Source organism: Homo sapiens, chromosome 1 (assembly GCF_000001405.40).
Source record: "Homo sapiens chromosome 1, GRCh38.p14 Primary Assembly".
Classification (NCBI taxonomy): Eukaryota; Metazoa; Chordata; class Mammalia; order Primates; family Hominidae; genus Homo; species Homo sapiens.
Window position 1 is genome coordinate 176,817,952 of NC_000001.11, and position 28,000 is coordinate 176,845,951.

General features: G+C 40.9%; 1 protein-coding gene across 6 annotated transcripts in view; it reads left to right on the top strand.

Moving 5' to 3' along the window:
* The window catches only part of PAPPA2 (pappalysin 2), a 382,427-nt gene extending 354,777 nt beyond the window's left edge, over window positions 1-27,650 (top strand). For all 6 annotated transcript variants that reach the window (XM_047427180.1, XM_017002024.2, XM_017002023.2 and 3 more), the window contains 2 exons: window positions 22,222-22,320; window positions 24,429-27,650. In XM_047427180.1, the coding sequence (XP_047283136.1) occupies window positions 22,222-22,320; window positions 24,429-24,503 (174 nt within the window). In that variant the 3' untranslated portion in view covers window positions 24,504-27,650. The remainder of the gene's footprint in view (window positions 1-22,221; window positions 22,321-24,428) is intronic.

Here is a 28,000-nt window from a genome sequence, read left to right on the forward strand (position 1 = left end):
GGTAGGTGGGGAAAGACATAGAGGCAGGAAGTTAGCAGAGGAAGTGAAGCCAGTCAAGGGGACAGAGGAAGAATGACTAGAGAGGCGGAAGGAAGAAAAGGAAGGAGTGGTCTTAGGAAACCCATTTAAGAAGGGAGGCCTAAGGGAAAAAGAAATGGTGAAGAGTGTTAAATGCTGCCAAAAGTTGGCCAGCACAAGAAGTGAGATGGCAGTAACTTGAGTGGAAAACAGTTCATGGAAAGACTTTTGAGATGAAGAGACTGGAACATGTTTATTGGCTTTGAGTAATAATCTGATTGAGAGCATGAAGACTAAAGATAAAGAGAAGATATAAGGGATTACAGATACTGCTGCCTCTCAGTCAAGAGTCAAGTGAGAAGGGAGTAACAATAACTAAAGACAAAGTTTATAGAGTAGCAGATGGAATTCAAGAATTCAAGGTATTTTATATGCAATGGTTTCTTGTTTCTCTGTGTGGACTTTCCCATTCCTGTCAATGGCAACATCTGCCGTCCGGTTGCTCAGGACAAAATCCTTGATGTCATCTTAATTTCTCCATTTTCCTCATGTTCACATTTAGTTCATCAGGTAATTCTATTAGCTCTACCTTTAAAATATATCCACACACCAGCCACATTTTACCATCTGACCCACTGCCCCCCTGGTATGAGCCATCATCACCTGTTACATGGCTTATTGCAAGAGCCTCCTGACTGGTCTCACTACTTCCCCTGCCTCTTCACAGCCTAATCCCAGCATAGCAGCCAGACAGTCCTGTTAAAAATGTAAGTGAAATAATAATGCTCCTCAGCTGAAGCCCTGTGGCAATTCCCCACTTCATCCAGAATAAAAGCCACAATCTTTGCAATGGCTTACCTAGCCCTCCACATGTCCCCTCTCTGAACCTGTGACTGAAAATTGCAACCATCTTCACTCTCTTGTTCTCTGCCCATCTCCCCACCACTCCCAATTCCCTTATACTGGCCCTATTATTTAGTAGAATTATCACTTTCTAATTTGCTGTAGAGTTATTTGTTATGCTTGATGTCTGTTTTCCCCATTGGAATATAAGTTCCACGGGGCATTAAGTTTTGCAGATTGTATTCACTGTTATATCTCAAGTCTTAATACAGTGACGTAGTGACTGGCACATGGCAGATGGTCAATAGTTTTTGAGTGAATGATGGAGGTAAGAAGTTAAGGGCATCCACATGTCAGGGGGAGGGTCAGCAGCAGGGTAGTGATCTTCAGAAGCCACTTGACCATGATAGAGAAAGGAAAATTTTGCTGACTTGAGAAGAGTAAAGTTGGCAAGAGATCCTGAATGTTATGAGTCCTTTAAAAGTCTTTTCTATTGACAGTTTTGTTGTTGTTGTTGTTGTTAAATTAAGCCTATGGTTAGCATCACTCTGTACTGGGACTCTGGGGATGAGGAAGTTTGGTCTCTGAGGGTCTCTTCAGCTATTTGAAGGCTGTTTGTACATTGGAGAAAGAAGAGTTGGTTCCACTTCTTGCCTTTATTCTCTTTGGTTGTGTGACCTCAATCAAAGTCATTTAACATTTAACTCTTATGAAAAAGTATCTCCCTTGCTTGACATATACAGTTCTTTTGGCTCTCAAATGAGATAATGTTTGTGAGGGCATTTGTAGACACTAAAATGCTACACACATATGGGATTATCATCATTGTCATCCCCGTGTGAGAAGTCTTCTGAAGCAAGCCAAGGCTGAGCCGAGGCATAGCCATACTGCAGGTGATACATCCTGTGTGCTGCCCACTTTGAGTCCTGACCAAGGAAGCAGAATGCCTTCCAGGAGTTGCATACATAAAGCTGCAGCGTGATCTGATAAAGAGAAAGAGAGCCTCTGCACTTTCAGTGCAGTCCAGCTTAAAGCCTGGAACTAGTTTTTGCATCTCTTTGAATCTACTTGAGTGCAGGCCCCCAAACTGGGTATCAGACCTTGATTAAGGAGACTAACAACAGCCCAGATCTGGGGCTTCCTAGTAACCCCCCAGCACCAGCTGAGCAACTTGGGGTAACTTTCCTTCAGAAGCTCCTCTTGGGAGGATGCCCACACTCCATAGGGGGTACAAATCCTCTACCTTATTTGGCCTCTATTTCATTGAACAGAGTGACAAGAAAACAGCAAATAAGTCTTTGGATACTTAACCAAACTAAAAACAAAACAAAACAAAAAAAAACAACACGCACCTATTTTGAAAACATGGACTTGCCCCATCCTTGTCTCCAAAGCCCAGTGATCCTAAGTAAGCCTTTTGGTTCCAGTAGGTTCTCCATAGCCTTTTCAGTCGTATACATTGTTTTTCTATTTAAGATCAGTAATGAGAATTTGGCAGGAGAAAGATTCAAATGGGTCAGGAGGCTCTTGTGGCTTTTCTCGGGCTTGTTTTCCACAGTTCATTCTAGCCTGCAACATACTTTGCAAGAATAAATTGGCTGGAGATCTAACCCATGGTGAGAGGCCGCCACTGAGGCAGCATTTCAGAATAGGGAGACTGGAGCCATGATCAGCCTTCCTGAAGCACACAGCCGGGGTGTTTCCTTACACATGCACATGCACATGGCAGTGTACACTGGGGATCCTCATCGAGAACAGATGTTGCTGCCCACTGTGCCAGCCACATGTCATGCATGGCATTTTCTTCTGCTAAACTCCTGGCAACAGCGTTTTTCTTTTCTTCTCCCTTCCCTCTGCCTCCTACCCTCTTTTCCCATCTCCTACACCCACAGCATGTGCAAATTCTCTCCTGATTCATACTTGGCCAGCCTCATATTTTTGTTGTTGTTATTGTTATTGCAAACATTAGAGGCTTCCAAAGCTGGGGAAAAAAAAGTAAAAGAAAAGAAAAGAGAAAAAGAAAGAAACCACAACAACCCCCAAAGGAAATATGTTCTAACCCAGGAATGTACGATACTTCATGCATGGGAAGCATCTTCCCACCTCTCCAAGCTTAGCTACAGAAACAAAGGCTCCAAATTCCAACACATGAAAAAAGAATTAATCCAGCTTTTTTGTATGTGCCTCATACCATTTTTCAGTCTAAAAGTCTGCTGCTCCCCCCAATGGCTAGGATTTGCAGGAATGTCATAGCCTTCTTCTCAACTTACACCATGGTTACAAAATTATGATCACTGCTTCAGGTCCATTTATGTATTTCTTCAGTGAAAATTATATTTTCTGAGTACCTACGATGTGTTGAGATTACAAAAATGAATCAGAAATTCCCATCACAGTGTACACAATAGAGATAAAAAATATCAAATTACTATCCAATGAGTATAAGCCGATAATACAATCATATGAATAAGGGCATATGGGAGCACAGGGAATAAAGCAAATAACTTATCCTAATTCCATGGAGAAAGTTTTATAGAGGGGTAATTATTTGAAGTAGATTTGAAGCATAAATAGGCATGAAAGGCAAAGATGTGAAAGGAAATGGCATGAAGCTGTCATCAAGTCTTTCTGTAATAAAGCTGCATAACAAAATAATCCACAAATATAAATGTCTTAAATAGCAACTTCTCACTCATGCATCTACAAGTTGGCTAAAGTGACTCTCTTAGTTTGTGGTCTGGGTTCAAGTTTACTTTATATGTCTCTCCCTCAGGGACCTAGGCTTTAGAGTTTCACGGTTAGCAGCTACACAGGGCATGTTCTTTTCATGGTAGATAGCTGGGCACAAAAGGGTGAGTTAAGGCATGCTCATGCATTTCCAACTTTTTGTCAAGTGTAGCATGTGTCACATACATTTATGTTCCACTAGTTAAGGCAAACCACATGGCTGCATCCAAAGTTAGTAGGAAGTGAAATTATGCTCTGCTGACAGTGGACTCATGGCAAAGGAAGGGTGAGTAAAAAGAATATAGACAAAGAATAATATCTACTAGTCAGCCTTTGCAGTCGCAAGCATTCGTTAAACACATTCACTCCACCCTATGCCAAGACACTCCAACAGTCTTATCCAGTCCTAGCATCAGGTTTGAAATCTAGAATCTCATGATTGATACCAGATTGCAATGTAGCTTCTCTTAATCTGGAGCCTTATGTACTAAAATCACAAGCTCCCTGCCTCCCACTCACCCCACATGCAAAGTGGAGCAGAAATAAATAACTACAATAAACATTCCCTTTCAAGGAGAAAGAGTGGGAGGTGCATAAAGCCCACCTCTCATTCTTTGAGCAAAAGTTGTAAAACCACTACTGGGAGAGTAGGGAGCACTTCTTGTTTAGAAACTTTCGATTACTCCCTGGGTGTCACCTCCTAGTTGATTGTTCTTCATGACTCTTGGCTCTGATCTCTAAGGAGTCTTCATTTTCCACCATCTCATTTGGTCATATATTAAAAGCAGTGAGGAACATCCACTTTTGGAAGCTGAGTATCTTTCTTAACTTCCTTCCTCCTTGTAGAATATAGGGGGCCCAAAGGTCACTAACAGTAGGTCTCTTACAATCCAGGTTGATAGTGATTTTGGCACCTCAACTCCCACAAATTTGATTGATTTTTGTATATATTTAATTCCAGTAAAATTCATAAGGCAAGAGCTATACTCACAAGTCTTTTCAAGAAATGCCTCTCTTAATAAATATAGGTATTCTGAGCTTATGAGGCTTCTCTTGGACAAAGTTCTTAGGCTGTTTCCTCAGAGTCCTTTTGTAAACTGCAAGGATCTCCTACGTGTTGATTTAATCCAATTGAAGGTCCTAACAAATGATGTAATGGTTCACTCCTTAATTTGTTTCTTTGCCTAACATTGTCTTAACTTCAGTCTTAGAAGGCCTTTCTAATGCAGATTATTATGAAATTTGATCTTTTACTGGCCAGAGATAAGAAACGGTTTTATTTTTCAGTACTACAAGTTTTAGAATTTCTAATAATTTATATTCCCGGTCAATTCTACTGGCAAAGCAATAACCTTTTCTGCACTCATCTCTTCTCGCAGTACCTTATCAAATTAAGGTAATAACCACCAACTAATCCTAGTAATATTCTTCTTCAAAACTTCTTTATTCAAAGCCAATAGGGCATTACTAAATTTTTGGCCTGCAAGTAATAACAATTAACAATATAATTTCTCTTTCAAGTAACTATAGGAAACATTTTATGAAATACTTTGCTACCACATAAATGAAGAACATAATTTTTCCAGCCTCCTGAAACATTTATTTTGCTTCCTGCCCCTCCATTCCAGAGCCAATCTCATACATTTTAGGTTTTTTGTTTGTTTGTTATGGTAACATTTTACTTCTGATACTACTGTCTGTATTAGTCAAGTGTTCCTGCAATAAGGTCACATAACAAACAATCCCCAAATGTCAATGGCATATAACATAAAGTATTATTAGTCTGCTCAGTGAAGCTGATCTTGAGGGAGATAAGGAAGTATGGAATGACTCAAGGTTAAAGAGGTAAATAAAAGGTAGATCATTAGATCTCTGGTATGCCAATCTAAGCAATTTGGGCTTTATTCTGCAGCCAGTGTTGATCCAATGAGGGCTTATAAATAGAAGAATATGAATTAATCAAGGTAGGCTGTGGTCATAAATTAACCCTAAAATTGCAGTGATTTACCATTACTTTTCTCACTTACATTAAGTCTGGTATAACTCTCTAGAGCAGCTATTCATTTCTTCCATCTTATTACTCTGTCCTTTCAAAATGTGATCTCCATGGTTGCCTCCTTGAAGACAGAGGAGGAATACAAAGTGAGGCCGGTAACTCTTGATTCCCTTGGACTAAAAGTAATGCATCATTTCTGTTGGTCCTCCCATTCACCAGATATGGTCACATTCCCTCAGCCCATAATAAGTGAGGCAGAACAATCTGAGGGACCACAGAGATATCTGTGAGCATTAAGAATCTCTGTAAGAGAGAAAAGAAGGTAGGATGTATAGTCTAAGAAGAAATCATGGTGGCAAAATTGAACCATGGAGGTCAGGGTGTTACCATCTCTCACCTGAACTAATGTAACAGCCCCCTCACCAAACTGAGGAAGTGCAAAGAAAGGAGAAAAGAGTCTGAATACAAAATTATGTCTGCAATAGGATAGTATTTGTTTGCTGGGTGTAATGATGAGAGAGGAGTTAAAGATAAAGTAAACAGGATTGGAAAGATGGCAGTGGTGGATGACAGTACCGTGGGCTTGCCTCTTACACTGTCTCAGTTTGCTCTGAAATAAGCTCAGTCAACAGTTTATCAACACACATTGCTTGAACATCTGCTGTGGGGAACAAAAAGACCTGGTTGCTGCCTGCATAGTTGGAGGTGTGTGCTATTTGTATGTGTTTTTGTTGCTGTATCTATTTTGAATGTCTGGTTAACCAGCTTCTAGTTGGCAGGGGCCATGTTGAATTTTTCTGTGTTTATACTGCCACACACACAATCAAATTTAATAGTAAACATCCTACAAGTAGTTAATAAATATTCACATTTGGCTAAGTGATGCTCATTTTATTCTCTTCTTTGGCTGTTCTTGTCATATATTCCTTGGGAAATTTCTTATGCATTAAATATAGAATATTGCAGTTCAGAGCTAGAATTAGTACTTTATTTCTAATTTATTTTTTAATTAGAGAAACCAAGTAGTAAATTGAATATGCATTATCCAGATGTGAAAACCTTTGAACAAACAGAGATGAAATTGACTCCCCAATGTCCTCATGTTTGCCTGCCGGTTTGGAAGTTTAAAATAGTTAAGTTTAATTTGCACCTCTATCGCTCATTCCCCAAGTGACCTTGGGGCACGACCCTTTGTCCCATTTTTCCCCATCAGTGGAATATGGATAATCATATTAATCTGCCTCACCAGGCGATGTGAGGACTAATTAAAAATGAGATTAGATTCAACTGAAGTCTTTCTAATGTGAAAAATATTAAACTTGGTGATGCATGTCTGAAATGCTGTTAGGGTCTGGGAATGGTCTCTGGCTTTAGAACTGCTTGTGACCCTGATGGCACTACAGCTAAGACTGGAGTGCCTGCAGGCTGCCCATCTTGCTCATTGGCCAGATTGCCTCTGACCTGGTTCCATGTCCTGTGGGCCCAGCCTGAGCGCCAACCCTGTGTGGAATTGACTGGTAACTGGTAAGCTAATGATCTGTTCACTTCTTAGTGCTTCCTCGGAGACTTACTTCCTGCCTTTCCTCCTCTTACCTCCTTTTCCTGACAGGATCTCTGGAAGTTCTTTGGATTGATCCATCACTAAAATAGTTAAATTGATAAATTTACCAAATAACTTACGTGTTTTGCTCATACTTACTTCACCCAGGCAGACAATGCCCTGATGCACAGAGCCGGCTTTTCCGATTGTGTTTTATAGGTACCTACCTCTACTAGGTAATTTTAGGGGTGTTATGCATGGTCTCATTTATCCCCCGAGTAGTTGTCTTCCAAATGTGGTTCATAAAGTAGCAAACTTCTTGTAATTAATTTCATATCTTGCCTTATTCTTTTATCTTTTATTTAATTGCAGATACATATTAGTCCTTGACCCTCTAGTATGTCAGCGGCTTTCCAGAGGAATAGGAAAATATGCAGATACTGTGGCAGGGATGGAGACATTGGTTATGGGGGTCGTTAGAAGGTGCAAAGAGTTCAGCATGAAGGTGGGGACGATGAGAAAAGAAAGGAGAGACTAGGAGACTCAAGACAAACTTAGATAGAGCATTGCTGCTATACCTCAGCTATCAATAGAATCTAAGGTAATTAGGTACTGCAGATAACTTTGATTATTGTATATTTTGTTTGCTTTGAAACCATGTTACGTATTATATCCCCATAGTTGAGCAAGGTAAATGGTAAGATCCCTGAGATTAGAGAACACCGTTAAGAAAGAGGAAAAATGTCAAAGTCACTAAGTAGCCACTTTGGCAGGGCTGCGCTCCACCCTCACAGACAGAGAACCATTGATACGAAGAGTATCCAGGCACATTTAGCTCAGGAAACAAACAAACAAAAAAGACAACTGGGGATTGTTCAGTATATTGAATAACATTATTGAGTGTTTTTAGCATTCCACGTCACGCTATGAGGAATTATTACCATTGCTACCATCCTTGTTTTACTGATGAGGAAACTGAGGGGCTGAGAATTTAATTAACTTCCCAAATCTCCTGAGCTAGTAAATATGGGACCAGTTAATGAACCTCGGTAGTGTGATTCTAGAGTCCATGTTCTTAGACTGGTAGGAAGATTAAAAGCAAAGGAACAAATAAATGATGTATAAACTAGAAATGACTTTTAGAAAATACAACTGAGAGATGAAGATGGAGTGCTGACAACCTGTTAGGAACCCTTTCTGGGCTTGCAAGATTTAAACCAGAATAAATGGAAAAGGAGATATGCCAATGAACTCTGCTTAGCAAGGATCAGAGACCAAGAAAATGAGAGCAGAGAACATGTTGTGAAACAGATGCAGTCAATCAGTGATGAGTGGATTAGATACACAGACAAGCATCCTGGAGATAAAGGGAATGTAAACAAGACACTCGCACAGAGAATAGGTTCCATATGGGTGAAAGTGAGACTGGATGGACCAACCAGTTGGGGGAGAAAGGAACAGCTGGTCCAACAAATCAGGATGTGTGGCAGGTTGAGGATCAGAAGCACAATGATCAGCCACACAAACTGAACTGTCCATAGACATGGGAACTAAATATTAGACTGAAGCTAAAAGAAACAAGACTATTGGCAAGAAAACATTCTGGAATAAACATGATACCTCCCTCTTGCCATTTTTCAGGTCAACTGGACCTGGATATTACTGGGGATGATAAAATAGTTATGTCTAAATTGTGGAAAAAGTCTGCAGAAATTGGGCAGAATAGAAAATGTGCGGGGCCCCTCTAGACCTGTGTTTACATATACAGGAAAAAGGAAAATTTGTAGAGCTTCTCACTGTGAGCTGGGACAGGTCTTGCTACTTAATCAAGATCTATGTCCCATGACTCAGACCTTTGATTGTGGTAAGGATACCTTCTAGATAGATTTTCAGTGATCAAATTATTTTAGAAAAGTGCATCATGATTTGAACAGTCAATGTCATAGATAAGCCTTCATCTCCACTGGTCTTCTGCCCATATATGACCTTTCAAGTGGTCCTGATGACTTTCCTTCACAAAACCCCTCCTATCTGCCTTTTTCTATTCCATATTATGGACAGCCAGTTCTGTTCTTCTTCGTTCATATTGCTTGAACTCAACTCCTACTTGGTCCTGGCCCTTCCAGTTGTCTTCTGAACGTTCCCTGTATTATCTCCAGATCTAACCTTCAAAACACAGCTTTTATCATTTCTTCTTCTGGAAAAAAAACACTTTAGCTTTTCCCTATTGTCTTCAGAATACAGATTAAATTCTTCTGGATGGAGATTTTGAGTTAGTTCCAAACTTGCATCATTAATATTTGAAAGAGAAAACCACAGATATATCTTTTCTTTTACCATCTGAAATGTCAGCTTATATTTGGCCTTCCTGCTGGGGTTATTCTCCCCATTTCTCTGCCAAAATCCTATCCATTCTTCAAAGATTAGGTTTAATCCCATGTACCCCATAAAGCCTTTCTAAAATGCTCCAGGCAGGTCCTCTTTCTGCACTGCTATCATTCTTATTAGTGGTACCATTAATTACTCTGGGAACTGACCTTCCATTTACCTATGATTTCTTTCCTATGGTCTTAGGTGCAGTTCAGATTCTGTATTATGCAGCACTCATGCCACAATGACTTCTTTGAGGCAAATACTTTGTCACCCAGGAACCTTCTGTGGTGCCTTGTGCATAGCAGACACACTAAACACGTATTGATCAAATATCCCAGGATTCTAGCAACTAACCCTATGCCTGGCTTATAGTAAAATAGATGTTAATTTACTGTATAGAGTAATTTTGGCAAAATGTAAAGGATTTTTTCTGGATAATTATAAAAGAAAGTTTTCTATTTTTCCTTTAAAAAATACTATATAATACATTTCTCATGGCTATCTGTGACATTGACTTTTCCTTAGGCAGAAGGTGGCTGCCTCATTCTCATAGTTTCAGTGAGAGGTTAGACCAGGTGTACAGTACCAAGCAGTAGAGTGAGGCATATCATTAATACATGATAACAATGCTGGAGGCAGCATGAGCATATCAGGATGGTCAGGGCACAGGCCTGAACACCAGACAATGGCTCTATCGTCAGACACATTCCCTATCATCGTGATCAGACACATTATCATCAGACATATTCCTTAACAGCGCCAGTTTTTATTTTTTTTCACCTGTAAAATGGTCATAATAATGGGCCCAATAACAGAGCTATTGCAAGGGTTCATAAAACCACATGTACAAACCTTGTAGTACACACCACACACCTATATAAAACAAAAATAGCATTTTGCTTCTATATAATGGTTTGTAGTTTGTAAAAACAGTTTTACGTTTAGGTTTGTTCCTTATACCGGAAGGTTTCAGATAATTTGTGTGCATCTATACGTGCGTATAAAATAAAAATATACTTTATGTTACAGATCTATAATATAGATTATATATTATTAATTATTATACACATAGTATAATACATATGAGAAAGGGAGAAGCATATATATGTATCATATATATTTACCACATCTATGCATATGTGTATATAAGTACATACAAATATATACATACGGATATATGTATACAATTGCATATACATACATATGCACATGCATTGCATAGATATGAAAGAGAATAAAAGAGAGAAAACAAGTGCTATGAACACTAACAAAAGGCCGGGCGTGGTGGCTCATGCCCGTAATCCCAGCACTTTAGGAGGCTGAGGTGGGTGAATCACGAGGTCAGGAGTTCGAGACCAGCCTGGCCAACATGGTGAAACCCCGTCTCTACTAAAAATACAAAAAATTAGCTGGGCGTGGTGGTGGGCAGCTGTATTCCCAACTACTTGGGAGGCTGAGGCAGGAGAATCTTTTGAACCCAGGAGATGGAGGTTGCAGTGAGCCGAGATCATGCCACTGCACTCCAGTCTGGGCAACAACGCAAGACTCCATCTCAAAAAAATAAATAAATAAATAAATAAAGGAAAGAAAAAGAACACTAACAAAAACTCAAAGAAACGTAGATTAAAGTTTACCCCAAAGTGAAACACTTTCATCTTTGTAAAGAGCTGGATGTGGTATCAGAATGGGAAAAGGCTTGTCAACTGCTGTGCTTTCTTTAAACAGTTCTCACCTTAGCAGTCTCTGCTTAATCCTCAAAATTCCTCTCAATGTACTTGATTGCTGAGAAAGAGAGGGAAGGATGGAAGGGGGAAGGAGGGAGAGAATGAGAGAGAATGGGGAAAAAAAAAAAGATGCTCAGCAAACAGCAGGAGGGCCAAGAAAAATATTTAATCCAAACAAGGCATACGGTCGTTTCCTCCCACAGTCTGCATTCCCAGTCACCTTCCACAGGCGGGCTCAGGGAGCCAAGAAATGCTGGCCTGCCTGGCATGTGCCTGCATGCGGTGAACAGGCAGGGATGAGCACGCATGCTGGGGCTGTGGTGGAACATTCTGGTCACCAGCTCAGGCCTGCCTCAGCCTCCCATGAACTGAATGCTGGCCGAGGAACCAGGAGACAGAGACGAAGGGAAGTTAAGGATCAAAGTCCAAACAGGACCTAACAGTCTGTCCCGGGCCTTCTTGTGGGGTCACATGCTTTTCCTTTCTTCCCTCAGCTGCATGTAATCTGTCTCTGACTTGTACCTGTCTCCTCATCCTTTCATCTCCCACAGCTATGTAAGCTCCATCCAGACAGAGCATGTACCGCCTCATGTTTCAATTATGTGGGATGTGGCCTTGTGCAGCAGCTGGCCAAGGGCCCAGAGAGGAGGGGCACAGTGAGTGGCCACCTAGAGAGGTGACCAGAGAAAGGCACTGGAAGGTCCCACCTTACTGGGCAGGATGCCTGCAGTGGTCTGAAATTCTGCTCTCAATTTCATTCATCTGTAGTCTTAAGTTTGATGTCTGGAAGAGTCTACTGTGAATGAGCCTATGACTGGAAGGCCACACCAAGCTGTTTTCAGGTGATATTTTGGGGTGAGTAATTGATAGTGAAAACAAATACCTGGGAGGCAAAGGGACAAGATAGGGGAAATAATTGGGCATGGTGGTTTATACCTGTAGTCCCAGCTACTTGGGAGACTGAGGCAGGAGGATTGCTTGAGCCCAAGGGTTTGAGACCAGCCTGGACAACATAGCCAGACCCCATCTCTTAAAAAATAAATTTTTAAAAACAGACAAACAAATAGATGACAGGGGGAATGTTTACCTTATCTTGGAGGAAAGGTAAGAGGAGTGAAATACAAGAACTGTTTTGAATTTTTAGTTTTATAGAGTTAATTCTGGAGAGAATTCACTAGTTTAATCCATCAAATATTCATTAAGCACATATTGTAATGTATTGGATACTGCGCTGATGCACAGGGTTTATTGCTGATGGAGGAAAAGGGAACAGAAAAGAGACAAAAATGGAAGTGTTCCTGCCCCCACAGTCCTTGCAGAGTTGCGGACCTCTTTTGTTCAAGGTTTCTATGTCTGACCTTAATACACAGTTGGTTGGCTCCAATTAGCTGAAAAGGGAAGCAGGATATTCCCTAAACAAATGATTGTTAATCCATTGATTGTTTAAAGAAGAGAGCCAAATGTCATGCAGTAAGACTGTATCTGAAGACCTTGCAGACCATCTACACCACTCCCAACATGAAAGCAAGAAAAAGGAAATTACAAGAACTCATGGGCCTATCAGCCCTGCAATGGGGACAGTGAGGTCTGATGGTATGTCATTATTAATTCTTGTAGGAGCCCACGGCACAGACTTTGCTGTGTCACAAACATTGGTACTATGGAAGCCTGGCAATGAGTCCACCTGATGGACTGCTGCTGTTCCTGGGCAGCATTTTAAGAAGCATTGCTGTGTACTTAGAAGAGGAGGAAGGATGACAGTGTCATGAAAACAGTTTTTGACAGCAAAGGATTGGGAATCACTGGAATAAAATCTTGACAAATGAATTGTACAGGATCAGCTTCACTGGAGAAAAGGGGGTCACATGGAGGACAGCAAACACTGATGGAGGGGTAGACAAAAGTTTTTTCGGTTTTTGTTTGTTTGTTTTAGGACATGGAGTTGGGTTTGGTGCAGAAGGGTCAAGGAGTGATTCAGTGCAGAAGGAATAAAGGTGGTTGGGGAAGTGGAGCACTGGGTGCCTTCACAGCCTTCAAAGTGTATCTTGTGTAGTTTTGGTAACAGGTGAGGGAAGAGATAGGGCAAAAGGTACCCAACACCTTACCATCAGCAAGGCCTCTGAGTCAGAGGAGGGCCAGGACACATTCCCGTCAGGAATGGCTCAGGCTGCAGCTCTCAACAGGAGGGCCAATAAAAACTTCACAGAAGTGCTGTTGTTTTCAGTAGGGCCCTGTGCAGGGATGTTCTGTCCTTAAGGAGCCAGGCTTCAACTTCGAGTTGGTGTTTTTCTTGCACAAATGTGCATGGATATCACCTGAACACTGTCTTTCCCATTTTCACCCTTTGGGACTATAACTCCATCCACCAGCACTGCCCTCCTCCTGGCCTTGAGGTGGGCAAGACCACTCATATAGAACTGTCTCTCCCAGAGGAGAGACTGCATGGGGAAGCAGGTCAGTGTGTGCTTGCAGTGAGGTAGAGAGTTTGTGTGACTTTGAGTCTTTATTTGCAACTATTTGAAAAGGGCCGTGAGGTTAGTTTTGGCTGAAAAGTAAGTCCCAGAGAGTCTCCTCACCTTCCTGTTTTCCTGCAGCACATATCAGAGAAGAAATATCTGTGTGATGGTTTGGGGTTTTTTTCAGAGGCTAAGACACCCAAGTCACCATTATGGTTTTTGAAGAGAGCCCTGGTTTCCAGGAGCCAATTAGACCATTTCTTTTCTGTTTTTATAAGTTTCAAAACTGTTTCCCTTGTCACCTGACTCTGTCTTTCATGACTCAGGTACATGCATTGGTGGTAAAAGTGAATGGGGAAGGAGGCTCTCAGGGATGGAGCATGCCTGGTTTTGACTAAAGTGTTGGTGGCAGAATCTTGAAGTTTTCTGACCAGAGTCTCTAGGGAGACAATTCAGGCACCAACCTGCAATGGTAAAAGCAATGGTAGTTTTCTTGCTGCTTTCATAAAATTATGAATTATTGAATGCTTGCTATAGGTCAGGCATTGTGCTATGTGTTTTACCTCCATTTGCTCATTTATTCCTTGCAGCAATTCTGTGAGGTAGGTGCTATTTTTCTCATTCACTAACAAGAACACTGCTGCTCATTGTTAAGAAATTTTCTCAGATTCTGATTGTTGGTAAGGAGCAGAGCTGGGATCTGAGCATAGGTTTATGTAAAACCATACGCTGTGCTCTTCTTTTTTTTGAGACAGAGTCTCACTCTCACCCAGGAGGAGTGCAGTGGCGCGATCTCGGCTCACTGCAATCTCTTCCCAGGCTCAAGCGATTCTCCTGCCTCAGCCTCCCAAGTAGATGGGATTACAGGCGTGTGCCACTGCACCTGGCTAATTTTTGTATTTTTAGTAGAGACAGGGTTTCTTCATGTTGGCTAGGCTGGTCTCAAACTCCTGGCCTCAGGTGATCCACCCACCTCGGCCTCCCAAAGTGCTGGGATTACAGGCGTGAGTCACTGCACCCGGCCATATTCTGTGCTTTTAATCACCATACTCTATAGCCTTGATAGTTTCTGGGGCAGGAACTATTACGCCCTGGGTACCTTGGAGTAAGTGAAGTCAATACAGATGAAAGATGTCTTTTTTATCTTAACGTTTGCTTGCTTTTCTTTTCTCATCTAATTTTTCTCAACTATTTCTCTCAGAGGAGATTGATTTTTGTCCTATTTGATTATTTCTAAGACTTTGCTTTGGTCTTGGTGTCAAATGTAGATAAGCTGATTATAATCAGCCTTCTCTTTCAGGCTCTGCAGAGGTACACATTTGCCTTTTTAGAGGGTCTGCTGGGTTACACAGGCCGTGGTTTGAGGTCCTACACAGAAGATGTACTACCACACATGGACCAGTGATGCATGAGAGGCCACACAAGTAGACGCGCAGTCGGCATTCCTCTGATCATCCAGCAGGATGTGTATCTTCATTGTCTTTCTTTCAATTACATCTTCTCATCTCTTGTTTGTAGATTCCACCCTTGCCCTTCCAGGAGATACTCTGTACAACTTCAACTGTTAGCCGAAAACACAGAAGATCCTTAACGTCTTACTGTTAGTGACTTAGCCAAGGGCTGGATTTGAATCATGTAGACTTCAGAGCTGGTAGGCAGGAGCAAATCTCTTGGCTCCCAAGTGAGCCAAGCTACCTGCGGAGCATCATAATGTGATTGTGTCATTCTGTATCAGTCCTCATAAACATTGTCTTTTTATTAAAGTTCTAACAGGATTACATAAAAACTCCCTACCTTACAAAGGGCCAAGACCTAGGCCCTTATTCCAGATCACCTGTTAAAACCCAACCACTTGATCACAGATATTTGCAAACATTCCTAGGACAGCCATGGTTTACTGCTTTCTTTCTGCTCTGGTTTACAGTTTCTTTGTTTTTGGCCTTTGGGAAATGTTCTTTTTCTTCTTATGATGCCAGATGTGAAACTGAGAGAATATTGTTAGGTTTTATCTAACATTTTAGATGGTTTATAGAGGGGTAATTCTTACATAGTATATTCTACTGCCTTGTCCTACTTTCTGGCTGAAACGTAAGTATGATACACCTCCAAATGTATGGATGTGTACCATGTTCTTCACTTAGAAGATGATCTACATATATATTATATACATACACATGACCTACATATATATGTGTATATATATGTGTATATGTGTCTGTGTGTGTATATATATATATATATGATTTATTTCAACTCCAGTGTCTACAGTATATGCATTTATAGTAAGAAATAGAGTAGATGCCCATAAAATCTGGACCTGTGTCTAAGTTATGTGATTCTCATAAGGTAACATACCTAGCAAATTTTCTAGCAGTACAGGAATAATGAAAAGGAAGGATCTGGTCATAAAGTATGCTAAGGAAATGTAGTTTGCCTCCCACTTCAAAATAGGACAATCATATTTATTTATTTGTTGACAACCTACATCAGTCACTAAACTAGTAGCTGAGACTACAAAGTTGATTAGATCCCAAGCCTTTGAAAATACATTCCAGAGGTTAAGCTCTATAATAAATATGTGGATCAAATATACCATAACTCAGAGAAGGGACAGCTTTCTGAGTCCAGGAAGCCAGATGAAATTTTCCAGAGAAGATTGTTCCTAAGAAACTATTCCTGCATAAGCCATCTTGATATCTATCTATTTGAATTTTACATATTCCAAGAAGACTTGCAGACCCACAAATGTGTCATCATTGGGACCCTCCATCCCGAGGAATGAAGAGTGGAAGAGTTGAACAACGACATTTCCTTTTTTCCGCACATGACAGCAATGAGCAGCAAAACGTCTGGTTTTAGCATTCTGAGTCTTGGAAATAAGTGTTTCTGGGCTGTAGGCATATGTTGATGTGATTGGAGCATAGTGTTGCTTCCTCCTGGGGATATCAGCCTCCAGGGGAATACACCAAGCCCCAAGTCTCCGAAGGAGCAACAGTGCCAGGCAGCCTATTTGGGATAAACCTTGACCCACAGCTGAGAAAAACAGGAGTGAAGTTGTGGGCTGGGTGTGGTGGCTCACGCCTGTAATCCCAGCACTTTGGGAGGCTGAGACGGGTGGAACACCTGAGGTCAGGAGTTCGAGACCAGCCTGACCAACATGGTGAAACCCCGTCTCTACTAGAAATACAAAAAATTAGCCAGTTGTGGTGGCTCAATGTTGTAATCCCAGCTGCTCGGGAGGTTGAAGCAGGAGAATCGCTTGAACCTAAGAGACGGAGGTTGCAGTGAGCTGAGATCATGCCACTGCACTCCAGCCTGGGCCACAAAAGTGAAAATTCATCTCAAAAACAAAAAAAGTGAAGCTATGGGGGTCCAGAGGAATTGAGATTATGCATGACCATTTCTTTGTCTCTGTGTTAGATTGCTAGGTTTACTTAATACACCCGTACCAAGCCCCTTCTGTAAAGGTGCCAAAAGAACTTAAGTTACCCTTCTTTCTCAGTAAATTAAAAGACTAATGAAATCATCAAATAGTGGTGGTGTGGCATCGTAGAAAGAACAGAAGACCCAATATCTAGAGATTTGGAATCTGTTCCCAGGATTGCTACTAACTATCCTTGAAAACAAGACAGTTCACCTTTTTAAGGCTTCATTTCATCATTTGTAAAATAAGAAGTTTCTACTAAATAATCTTCAAGGTGTCATCTAGCCTTAGCATTTCATATATCTATGGTGTTCAAAAAAATCTCTTCAACATACTGATTTGATTTCCTTTGGATATATACCCAGTGGTGGGATTGCTGGATCACATAATTTACATTCCCAACAACAGTGTGAAAGGGTTCCCTTTCCTCCACATTCTCACAAGCACTTGCCTTTCATCTTTTGTTGTTGTTGTTGTTGTTTTTGAGACGGAGTTTCACTCTTGTCACCCAGACTGGAGTGCAATGGCACAATCCTGACTCACTGCAACCTCTGCCTCCCGGGTTCAAGCGATTCTCCTGCCTCAGCCTCCCAAGTAGCTGGGATTACAGGCAGGCACCACCACGCCCGGCTAGTTTTGTATTTTTAGTAGAGAGGGATTTCTCCATGTTTGTCAGGTTGGTCTCGAATTCCTGACTTCAGGTGATCCACCCGCCTCGGCCTCCCAAAGTGCTGAGATTACAGGTGTGAGCCACTGTGCCTGGCAGTCTTTCATCTTTTTGATAAGCAACTAGTGGTCTCATTATCAGAGGTCCCTGAGGGGCCCTACAGGCCCCCCCAGGTTCTGCCCCCAAGATTCTAAGAGAGACCTTGTGCTAGGGCTCTAGTCTTGATGTTCTTTGCATTGTTTGGATATGAAGCCCAGGATATGTGGGCACAATAAGGTAAATCATGAGATGTGAAGGAGAATGAAGATCAGGCCAGAGGTCACCATTCATTGAAGAGCCAGAGAAAAAGAAAATTAGTGCACAGATTTGTGTAGATTTACAGAGAACTTCTATTTGCTGCAAGAACTTCATCAGGCGCTGCACCATGCCTGATTTGGAAAGGAGCTTCTTTGGGGCCTGATAGAACTGAATTAATATGAAGAAATTGAAGTGGCTCTGATTTGTCATTCACATAACGAGAAGTTTTTTTTATGAAAACGATGTGGAAAACAGAAAATAGTGCTTGGCCTCAAGCAAAAATTTGATTAGCATCTTCTCTTGGTCTGAAACACTCATCAAGATAATAAAATAGGATTCAGTCCCATGCCTTACCTTTAGAGATACAGTCCCTTTTGGCTAAGATTCCAACCTGTAGGTTAGTAATGCAGAAGTTCTAAAGTCCAAACTAACCTTTCTAAAACATCAGCATGGTCTTGAGTTCTGTTGCAAGCTGTAGAAGAACAGTGTTCTTAATCTGGTTCAAGAAAGAGAGATCTTATCAGCCAATCAGTCAATGTTTATGGAACTACTCCCGAGCCTGGGCTCTGTAATAGGCAGCCTGAGACCACTCACCCTTCTATTTCTTCTTCTTCTTAGACACATCTTTCAGATTCCTCAGAACCATCCAGTCCTAAGCTCTTCTCCATGGGGCCTAGATGTTGTGGAGCCAGCTCCTAAAAGCAGATTTCCCTCACCCCCAAAATCTGGATTAGGTATTTAACTCCTGTTCACATCTTGATGCTACACTGAACTATCACATGAGCTAAAAAAAATAAAAATAAAAAATAAATGAAAAAAAAATTGCTTATGATGGGCCTCCCCAAGGGCTGGAACTATGTTTCATTTATCTTTGTGACCCCATAACAATGCCTGGCACATATAGGTGTGGAATAAAGCATATGGAGTGATTGAATGACTGACTATACCCATAGACAGCAGACAGGGCCACACTATCTCTATGGCTAACTCCCCACAGCAACTTCAAAATGGGAAACATCGCCAGATTATATAACAGGCAGAAGAAATTACGTTTACTTTTGAGAAGTTTCCGAAGCGGTATTCGTAGGGCAGACTGACAGTCTTTCCTTTTCGTATTCCACCACTTGCACACAGTCATTATTTGTCCATTTCATCTGCCTGGAACCCAGCTAGAAAAGCCGTGGCAAGAAAAGGCTTCCTATAACAATGAAAATAGGTATCATTAGGCTCATACGTCATAAGAAGAGTAGTCCAAGCGCTCTCTCAGATTTAAGTATTCACTGTAGGTATAACGCTAAGGGCTTGACTTTCTGGCTCAAACATAAATCATCTCTGAGGGGTGTGTGTGTGCGTGTGTGTGTTTTAAAGGAGGCACATTTAGCAAAGGGGAGAGTTTTCCTATACAGTGAAAATAACATACAGCTATGTTAATGACTTTGGGTTCTATATGTTGTTAAAAGGCAAAAAAAAAAAAAAAAAAAAACGGGTGTTTTATAAAGATATTTTTGTTTTACCAAGATGGTTAAAATAAAAATTTAAAAAGTGACCCTTACCAGGATAAGCTTCAGATATTTGAAAAGTGCACTTATGTGAAACGCTTTATTTTCTGATGTTACAGAATAAGCAAGGTATACATATGGGTGGTGACGTTCACCTATGTACACATTGTGCAGAGAAACCAAGCCCAGTACCTTTTCTTGGAAAAGATGCCTGTGGGTTAGAGTGATATCCTAAGACTGACATCTTTCAGTTATTGAAATTAAAATTTTCTAGTCTATATCCAGTCTTCAGATATTTTTAAATTTGGGATCAATTAGTCATTTTTCCTTTCCTATTTTTTCATTGTAACCTTGGACTCAAACTGTCGAGCTTCCCAGGCACAGGTTGCCATAGGAGACTCTGTTTGTTGAGGGTGGAGTGGTTGATTTTGGCAGGTTGAGGGAGGAGCAATTAATTCTAATAGGTATATAGTAAATTAAACACTTGGGTCTTTCCAGCCTTTTTTCTGTATTTCTTCTCTTTTCTATAAACTTCGTTCTCTTTCCAGATGACTCTTTAAGAGCAGAAAAGAAGGAGCTTTTAGAAATAATTCCCAGGCTATAGCAAAGGAAGTCCAGTGGGGCCTGGAGGTCACTTAGATCATTATTGCTCTTTTCAACATATGTTCTCTAATGTTCTTGAGATTAGAAGCGACCCTTGTTGAAGACTTTAGAAAGAAAAATTCCTTGGGATCCTTTACTAACCCATTCAAATATTTAGATTGTTCTTATGAAAAGAAAGATATCTTTAGATATACCTTTAATTTCCATTATGAAGACCAGACTTATACATGTAAGAAAAGTATTTTGGGTGCTCCTTCGATTTTTATAGACAATTACATGGAAAAAAAAGAAGGAACTTACTAGGTTTTGCCAATGAGTCAGTCAGGGTTGGAGCAAAAGTAACAGATGTAGTGCTAGATGAATAAGATACACTCCAAACACTTGAAAGAGAAAAATGAAACTCTGGGGAAACTCCGTAGATGTATCCAGTCATCCTGCAAGAACCCAAGAGCATCTATAGGTGTTAAGGATGCACTAGTTATCTTTGACTTTGATTATTTGGCTGCAGTTCGGGACCTGAGTCTTGATTCTACAGTTATTCCAAGTTCTCTAGAGCCAGAATAACTGGTTCCAGCATTAAAGACAAATGCTCATTACAGAATCTTTGTCTTTTATCCCAGTGAGGCCTGTGCTGAAAGCAGAATTCATTTTCACTTCTTGCTCACAACTGACATTGCTATGCAGCTGTGTGGCAGCTGTTGAGTTCCACCCCACAAGTAGCAGCTTCTCAGCCGTTGGCAAACTGGTATACATCTGGAATGATGTTCAAATGACATCAGGATCCCATAGAATAAATCAAAACATGGAAGTAATAACTTGGATAAACTCGTTCTGATGTAACTCAATTGCTGAGAATTATTTAATGGCCATTTTTGAGTTGAGTGATCTATCTCATCAAAACATGGTAAAATACAAAACTGTCCTTCTATTTGACATTTAAGGAGGGTCGGGGGAAGAGAAAGTGATTTGAACACATAAACTGGAAGGTGGCTTCAGAACTCAAGAGTTCTGTGGCCCAAAGAATTTGACCACAAGATGTTTCCTACGACTTTATGGTTGGGCATCTCTCAGGATGAGGAGCAGCCAGGTTATTGAGTAGGTGGGCTGGCTGATTTACCCTCCAGGATACAGCAGGACAACATTTCCCTCCAGAGGTAGTTTTCTGGAGAAATAATGCATTGGGCTGCTGAGCTATTTTTTAACAACTTGTTGCTGTTCTTATTGTACATTCTCTTTTGGGGTGAAACACTCCATTAACTCTGGTTTGGCCTGGACGCCTTTCCCATTTTAGTTCGTGCTGATTTACTGCAGTAGCAGTGGTGGATGGAAACAGTACAGCTTTCTCTGCTCTAACCCTGTATCTAGTTTCTGTGCATGAGTTGGCTGTACCTGTGGGAATATTTGTGTTACAGCACTGGTGTCCTCAACCCGAGCACCACTGCGGGCTGGACAGACACCATCTGAGTCTTCATAGCACCCAAGGACTACTCAGGTCTCTAAGTGTCAGTCTTCAGTGCACCAGGAGAGGGGTGGAGGTTAATATGTGAGAAGCAGTACAAAACCAAGTTACATGACATCTAATACTAAGCTTTATCTGACACTTGCTATGTGACCTGGGCAATTCTTATCATCTCTATGCATCCTCATTTCCAAAAAAGTGGGACTTTTGAGGCCAATCCTGCCTACTGCACAGGCTTTCTCCCATGCTCAACAGAGTTAAAAATATGTTGAACTGTTTTGTAACCTATATAATATAAAGACCTCTTGTTACAAGAAGGCAAAAAAGTTGATCAAAGAGTTTAAATGACGTATCTCAGACCTTAGAGTAGGCCAGGAGCAGTGCTGCCAGTGAAATGTGACAATTCCTTGGACCTAGTGGTCTTGAGATTTTTTCAACTTCTTGCAAATATTAGGTCAATTTGTGTCCTGCACCTTGGGTGCTTTTCTGTAATATCTCTGGAGCTGTATGGATTACGCTGGGATGGGAGGAGTGGCAGAGTCAAACAAGACATAATAAGGCTATACTGAGATGTTGCCTTCTAACCTCCCTACAGCCCTTCCAAGCAGATGGTTGGTGTGACACTATCAACAACCGAGCCTACTGCCACTATGACGGGGGAGACTGCTGCTCTTCCACACTCTCCTCCAAGAAGGTGAGTGAGAGAACCTGGGGATGGGGGAGGCAGTGGCTTCAGGAATAAAGGCAGGGTCTTCAGCTAGCTCTCATTCATGGTGTGTAATAATGGGTTTGTATTCAACAATTAGGAGGGAATTATAATGAACAAACATTGGAGCTTCTAAAGTGACAGGGTTAAGGGTAGCATAGGTTCTTAGACAACACTAGTTCTTTGTCAGTTCAGTGATTCTTTCAGAAAAGCCATGGTTTTTGCTACAGAAAGACTCATACCTGCTTATCATTGTCCAAGAAACATCTCTGTAGGCAGGGAAAGTAATTGTCCTTACCCCTGGGGGAGGTGGGATTATCAACAAACTGCTATTCAGTTACTAACCATCTCCATAATTACATTAATAATTTTATATAGTGTGTTACAAGCATCTCGCAGGCACATGTTAAATGGCTGCCACCAGCCACCTGAGCACTCTCTGGATTGTCTCGTGAGCAATTATCCTTTCTAATGCCCTTTATCCCTGTTATTCTTGGCTCTGTTAAATTAGCAGATAGGCTCAAGCTAAGCCTTATAAAATAGAATAAGCTGAAACTTTGCAATAATATGGGTAAAAATCTAAGTGCTCCAAAGATACTTGAAGCTAGTTGGGTCAATATGATAAATCTGAAATAAGCAAGAGATGTTATTTCCTTCCTTGTATATGTCTCCACAATAAAACCATACCTACCATGATAACCTACATGCAGGCTTGAATACTACATCTCTCACTCGCTAATGTTTAATCCTTACTCAATATGTGGCAGACACTGTTCTCACCACTTATGTGAATTAACTTATTTAATGCAGAGTGCTCAGGGGCTCATCATATCACTATTTAATTTGGCTGTCTTTTGCTCTAAAAACCAATAAATCCTAAACTAAGAAACAGATCAAGAGCTTGGAACAAAGGTCAGAAATCAGGCCAGCTATCTCTGTGTAGGAAGACAAGATAACTTAGGAAAAAATAAAGCAGTTCTCTCCCCATCTCACACTCTGAAAATCTAGTAATCGTCTGTAATAAATTTCAGTGCCTGTGGCCAGCATACACAGGAATTAGGATCGAAAAGGCACTTCACCCCTCTGTTGACTCCTAAATCACATTTTAGAGTAATGTGCAAATATGCTGGAAAATTTCCCCACACAACCCCACCCATTCTCCTACCCACTTGCCCAATCACCAAGCCCATCTCTTTAGTGTACTTGGACTAGTATTGTGTGTGATATGCCTATTTATTTTTATCTCATTAGATTATTAATGCCCCAAAAGGAAAAATCATTGCCACTTTTATATCACCTCTCCCAAATACCTGATTTTTTCTGATGCTAGTTATGGATGTAGCATTTATCTGTTTGTAGCAGTGCAAGCAGAAGTGAGTAACTTTTTCCGGACTATCTCTGGCATGAGGAAGAGATAGTTACATAGAAGGAAGGCAATACAGCCACAAACAATGGGTGGGTAGATGCATTATTCCACCAAGTCAAAGTATATCCTGGGCTCAAGAAGAGCAAAATCTCATGCTTTATGAGGATGGCAAAGATGTTCCTATTGTTCCAAGAGCACTGAGGAGTTGGAGTCAGAGTGCTAGTCTGTAGCTAGTCTCGGCTTCCCATATAGTAGTCTCATTACCTTGAATTAAGTCACCCCACATCTCTTGCCCTTCCCTGTAAAGAGAAAATGCTAATGCTACCATTCATCTTTCCTACTTTACAGGGAAAGTGACAGTAACAGTAAGAGCAGTATTTTTAGATATGAGTGGTAATATTAGAACTGATAGAATAGTAGTTATAGATGCTTGGCAATATATAAGAACTTTATACTCATTATTTAAATCACACAAACACCCTCTGGGGTAGTTTCTGTTGTCCTCCCTAGTTTATATATGAGGAAAGTGAAGCAAGGAACAATTACCTTGCCTAAGGCTACATGGTGACATGATGTGTGAGTGGGAAAACTGCGTGTTAATTTCCAGTTTGTGATATTGGCACATAATTCTACAGTTCCTCTGGGACCAAGTGAGGAAAGTGAAAGCTCGTTTAAAAGTGTGAAGCTATCACAGAAATGAGCTATTTCTACTTCCCTTTCATTCCCCTAGGTCATTCCATTTGCTGCTGACTGTGACCTGGATGAGTGCACCTGCCGGGACCCCAAGGCAGAAGAAAATCAGTAACTGTGGGAACAAGCCCCTCCCTCCACTGCCTCAGAGGCAGTAAGAAAGAGAGGCCGACCCAGGAGGAAACAAAGGGTGAATGAAGAAGAACAATCATGAAATGGAAGAAGGAGGAAGAGCATGAAGGATCTTATAAGAAATGCAAGAGGATATTGATAGGTGTGAACTAGTTCATCAAGTAGCCCAAGTAGGAGAGAATCATAGGCAAAAGTTTCTTTAAAGTGGCAGTTGATTAACATGGAAGGGGAAATATGATAGATATATAAGGACCCTCCTCCCTCACTTATATTCTATTAAATCCTATCCTCAACTCTTGCCCTGCTCTCCGCTCCACCCCCTGCCAACTACTCAGTCCCACCCAACTTGTAAACCAATACCAAAATACTAGAGGAGAAGTTGGCAGGGATACTGTTAATACCCATTTTGAATGGATTGCCATCTTTCAGAGCTTGTCTGCTCTCAACTGGCTCTTTTTCTTTTTGTGTAGTTTCCCTTAAATAATGAAGTTAGTTATTAATTCTTTATAAGTATTTAAACATAATTATATAAATATATTATATATATTATATTTTTTGCTGTTTACTAAGCTAAAAATTATTCATTGTTCCACACATGCTGCTGTGAAGTTCACATTCAAGATGAATGTTGAGACTTTGAGGACAGAAAGGCAACTTATTTTCCCATCTTTCTATGGATGCGGATTGGCAGGTTGAATGGGAAGTACAGAAGGAGAGAGAGTAATTAGATGGAATTCTGGATGCTAGCATGTAAAGCTAATCATCTTTTTTTTTATGACCTGGGAGCTGGGCCCATTTTATGACCAAGGAGATGGGGAGTTGGAATGGTGGTACTAAGAGGCATAGGAAGTTGAGTGTGAATACCATTGGTGATGGGTCCAGGAGAACTAGACTATGGTTCTTGAATATCTGTCCACAAAGAATATACTAACTTTTGTCAACTTCTCAGAACTCCCAACTGGAGTCGGTGAGACCTAGGATTTTCTGCACTTCCACACATGCCTGTTCCAAGTGTGGCTGTCAGCCAGTCAACAAGTTTGTACTATGGCCCATTCTCTGATCACCAGGATTACAGGAACTCACACACTCCTCATACTTGGCCTGTAGTCCTACTTCTTGTTAGAAGTCTCCAAGTCTGGCCAGTCACATGACCAAGTGTTGATTTTTCTGGAGGAAAAATTTTATGGAAATGATATAGGGGAAAGGTGGGAGGAGATGAAAGAACAGGCAAGAGCTGTCAGGGTTAAATCCAGGCCCGGGCATGAGAATGGAAGTGATCAGGGAGACTCGGTCCTTGTTCCAAGTCTCCAAAGAAGACCAAAGTGGGTCCCTTGAGCAATGAAGAATCTGAGATAAATTCTCTTCAAGTATCATGTACAAAATCTGTGAGCCAGAGATTTTGACTTGAGCAAGCCATGGAAATGCATGGAGCAAGGGTGACACTCTGTGGGGAGACAGAAGAATTTCAACTATTTAATGTCCATTTTGTTGTTTTTACCCTTTCTTATCCAATAGATGGAATGCACATGAAATGACCATATTAAGCCTCTCTCTATTTACATCCCAGGCTCACTGGGATGTGATCTACTGCAGTTACATTTTCTTGTAACGGTTTCTGGATTAGACCCTAGGGAAAGTGAGTAAGGAGCCAGTTTCTGTTTAACATTCTAGTTTTACTCATTTTAGGAAGGCTGTGAGTGAGGCTTGTCTCCTTTAAAGTTTCTTCTCCAATGGAAACCAAGAACAGACAAAATTTAGAGCTCAGCTGTGGTCTCTTCTCATCTTCTGCTCTTTTGCTTTGACCACAGTTTTTCTACTCTTCCCATCAACACTAGAGCAATGGCTGTGCAAATAGGAATAGGAAATACTACCACAATGATAGAAATATTATCCACACTATCACGTAGGGAAGAACAATATCCTGAAAGAGAATAAAACACGAATAAGGTGATGTACCCACATTAATCTGTGGGTTTGTGGAATGAGGGTTGCAAAGTTATTGGGAAAAGGAAAGAGCAGAGTTCACCCATTCAAAAAAAACCTTTTGTCTACTAATCTCTAGTGTAAAGAAAATGTAGTTCAGATACCATTCATTGTCTTGGGTCATGCTTAGTGCCCCCAAGAAGACAAACATATTTATTCTTGGGATTCTGATAGGCTTCAATATGCAAAGGACAATGGAAAAGTTTAGACACTCTATTTTCAAAATTTTATAAACTTGTTTTATTGGGGAAAATGTCCAAATTGCTAGACACATTCTAAGTTCTGCCTTGGAGAATCCTACTTTGTCTGAGATTGAGGCAGAGGAATTGTTATCCTGGGCATTACTCAGCTCAGGAACATGGAGCCTGTGGTTCATGCCAGTGTGTGTCTTCATGCAGTCTCTCCACAAGAGCAACAGTAAGAACATTTCTGTTTTAAATTTCATTTTAAAATATTTTATTATCTGCAATTCACCACTGCTCTGGGAAAGCAAAAGGAAAGTTCCTGTTGTGTGTGAAGAGCCTCTTAGGCTATAAGGCTTCCCAGCCATAGTCAGCTATAGCTATTCAGAGACAGCAGGTTCTTCCAGTCTTTGTTCCTGGGACCTGATGTTTTGAGCAACTCAGGTCACTGATAAAGTGGAAGGACTAAGACACTGTGGTCACAGATCCCAGCAACATCAACTCACACTCAATCCATGTGGTGGTCCACATTCTGCTACTCTTATCCACCCATGTGGTCATTGAGAGCCTTTCTCAGAGACTCTTCTGTGTGTTTGATTGTGCCCAGGTGGCCCAGGGCTAGCTGGCTCTAACAACTAGCATGACAGCCTCCAATCAGAAAGGCAGGTAAGGGGACAGGGTGAGGAGAATGGGCAGATACTGACAGAAATTAAAGTAAAGGGATTGTGAAAGTAAAGAGCTCTTCCTGATTCTCATCTTCTCTTTTTTCTATTACAAGGCATTGAACTTGGCACTTCCTGTATTCTTTGTGATCACTATTGAGTGCATTAGTTAACACCCAAGGGGATGGCTTGATTGGGAATGTAGTGAAAGGAGCTGATCTACTGTATTGTAATGTAAAACAGCTACAGCCAGTTATTTTGTAAGATTATAAGTTGTTCATTAAAAAATCAGCACACAAAATATGAAGTGTCTTTGGTGTTTGACTCTTTGTTTAAATCATTTCATCACTTTCTAATCACTTTCCATTGTCTTGTGCCAGGTCCAGGCAACAGTCATTATTTATTTGATTGATTGGTCATTTCTTTTAGCCACTTAAAAACCATTTGTTAAGTAAATAGGATGTGTAAGGAAGATGAATATGAAAGTTCATAAGAAGACATGGCATATATGAAAGTAGAATGTGAGGTAGGAATGTCAAATATCTCATGAGTTTTTAAATAAAGTGTAAGAATTACTTACAGTTCAGAGGAAGTAGGGTTTATTCCTGGATGCCAAAGGTAGGCAGCATTTGGAAAATGGTTGGGAAGGATGC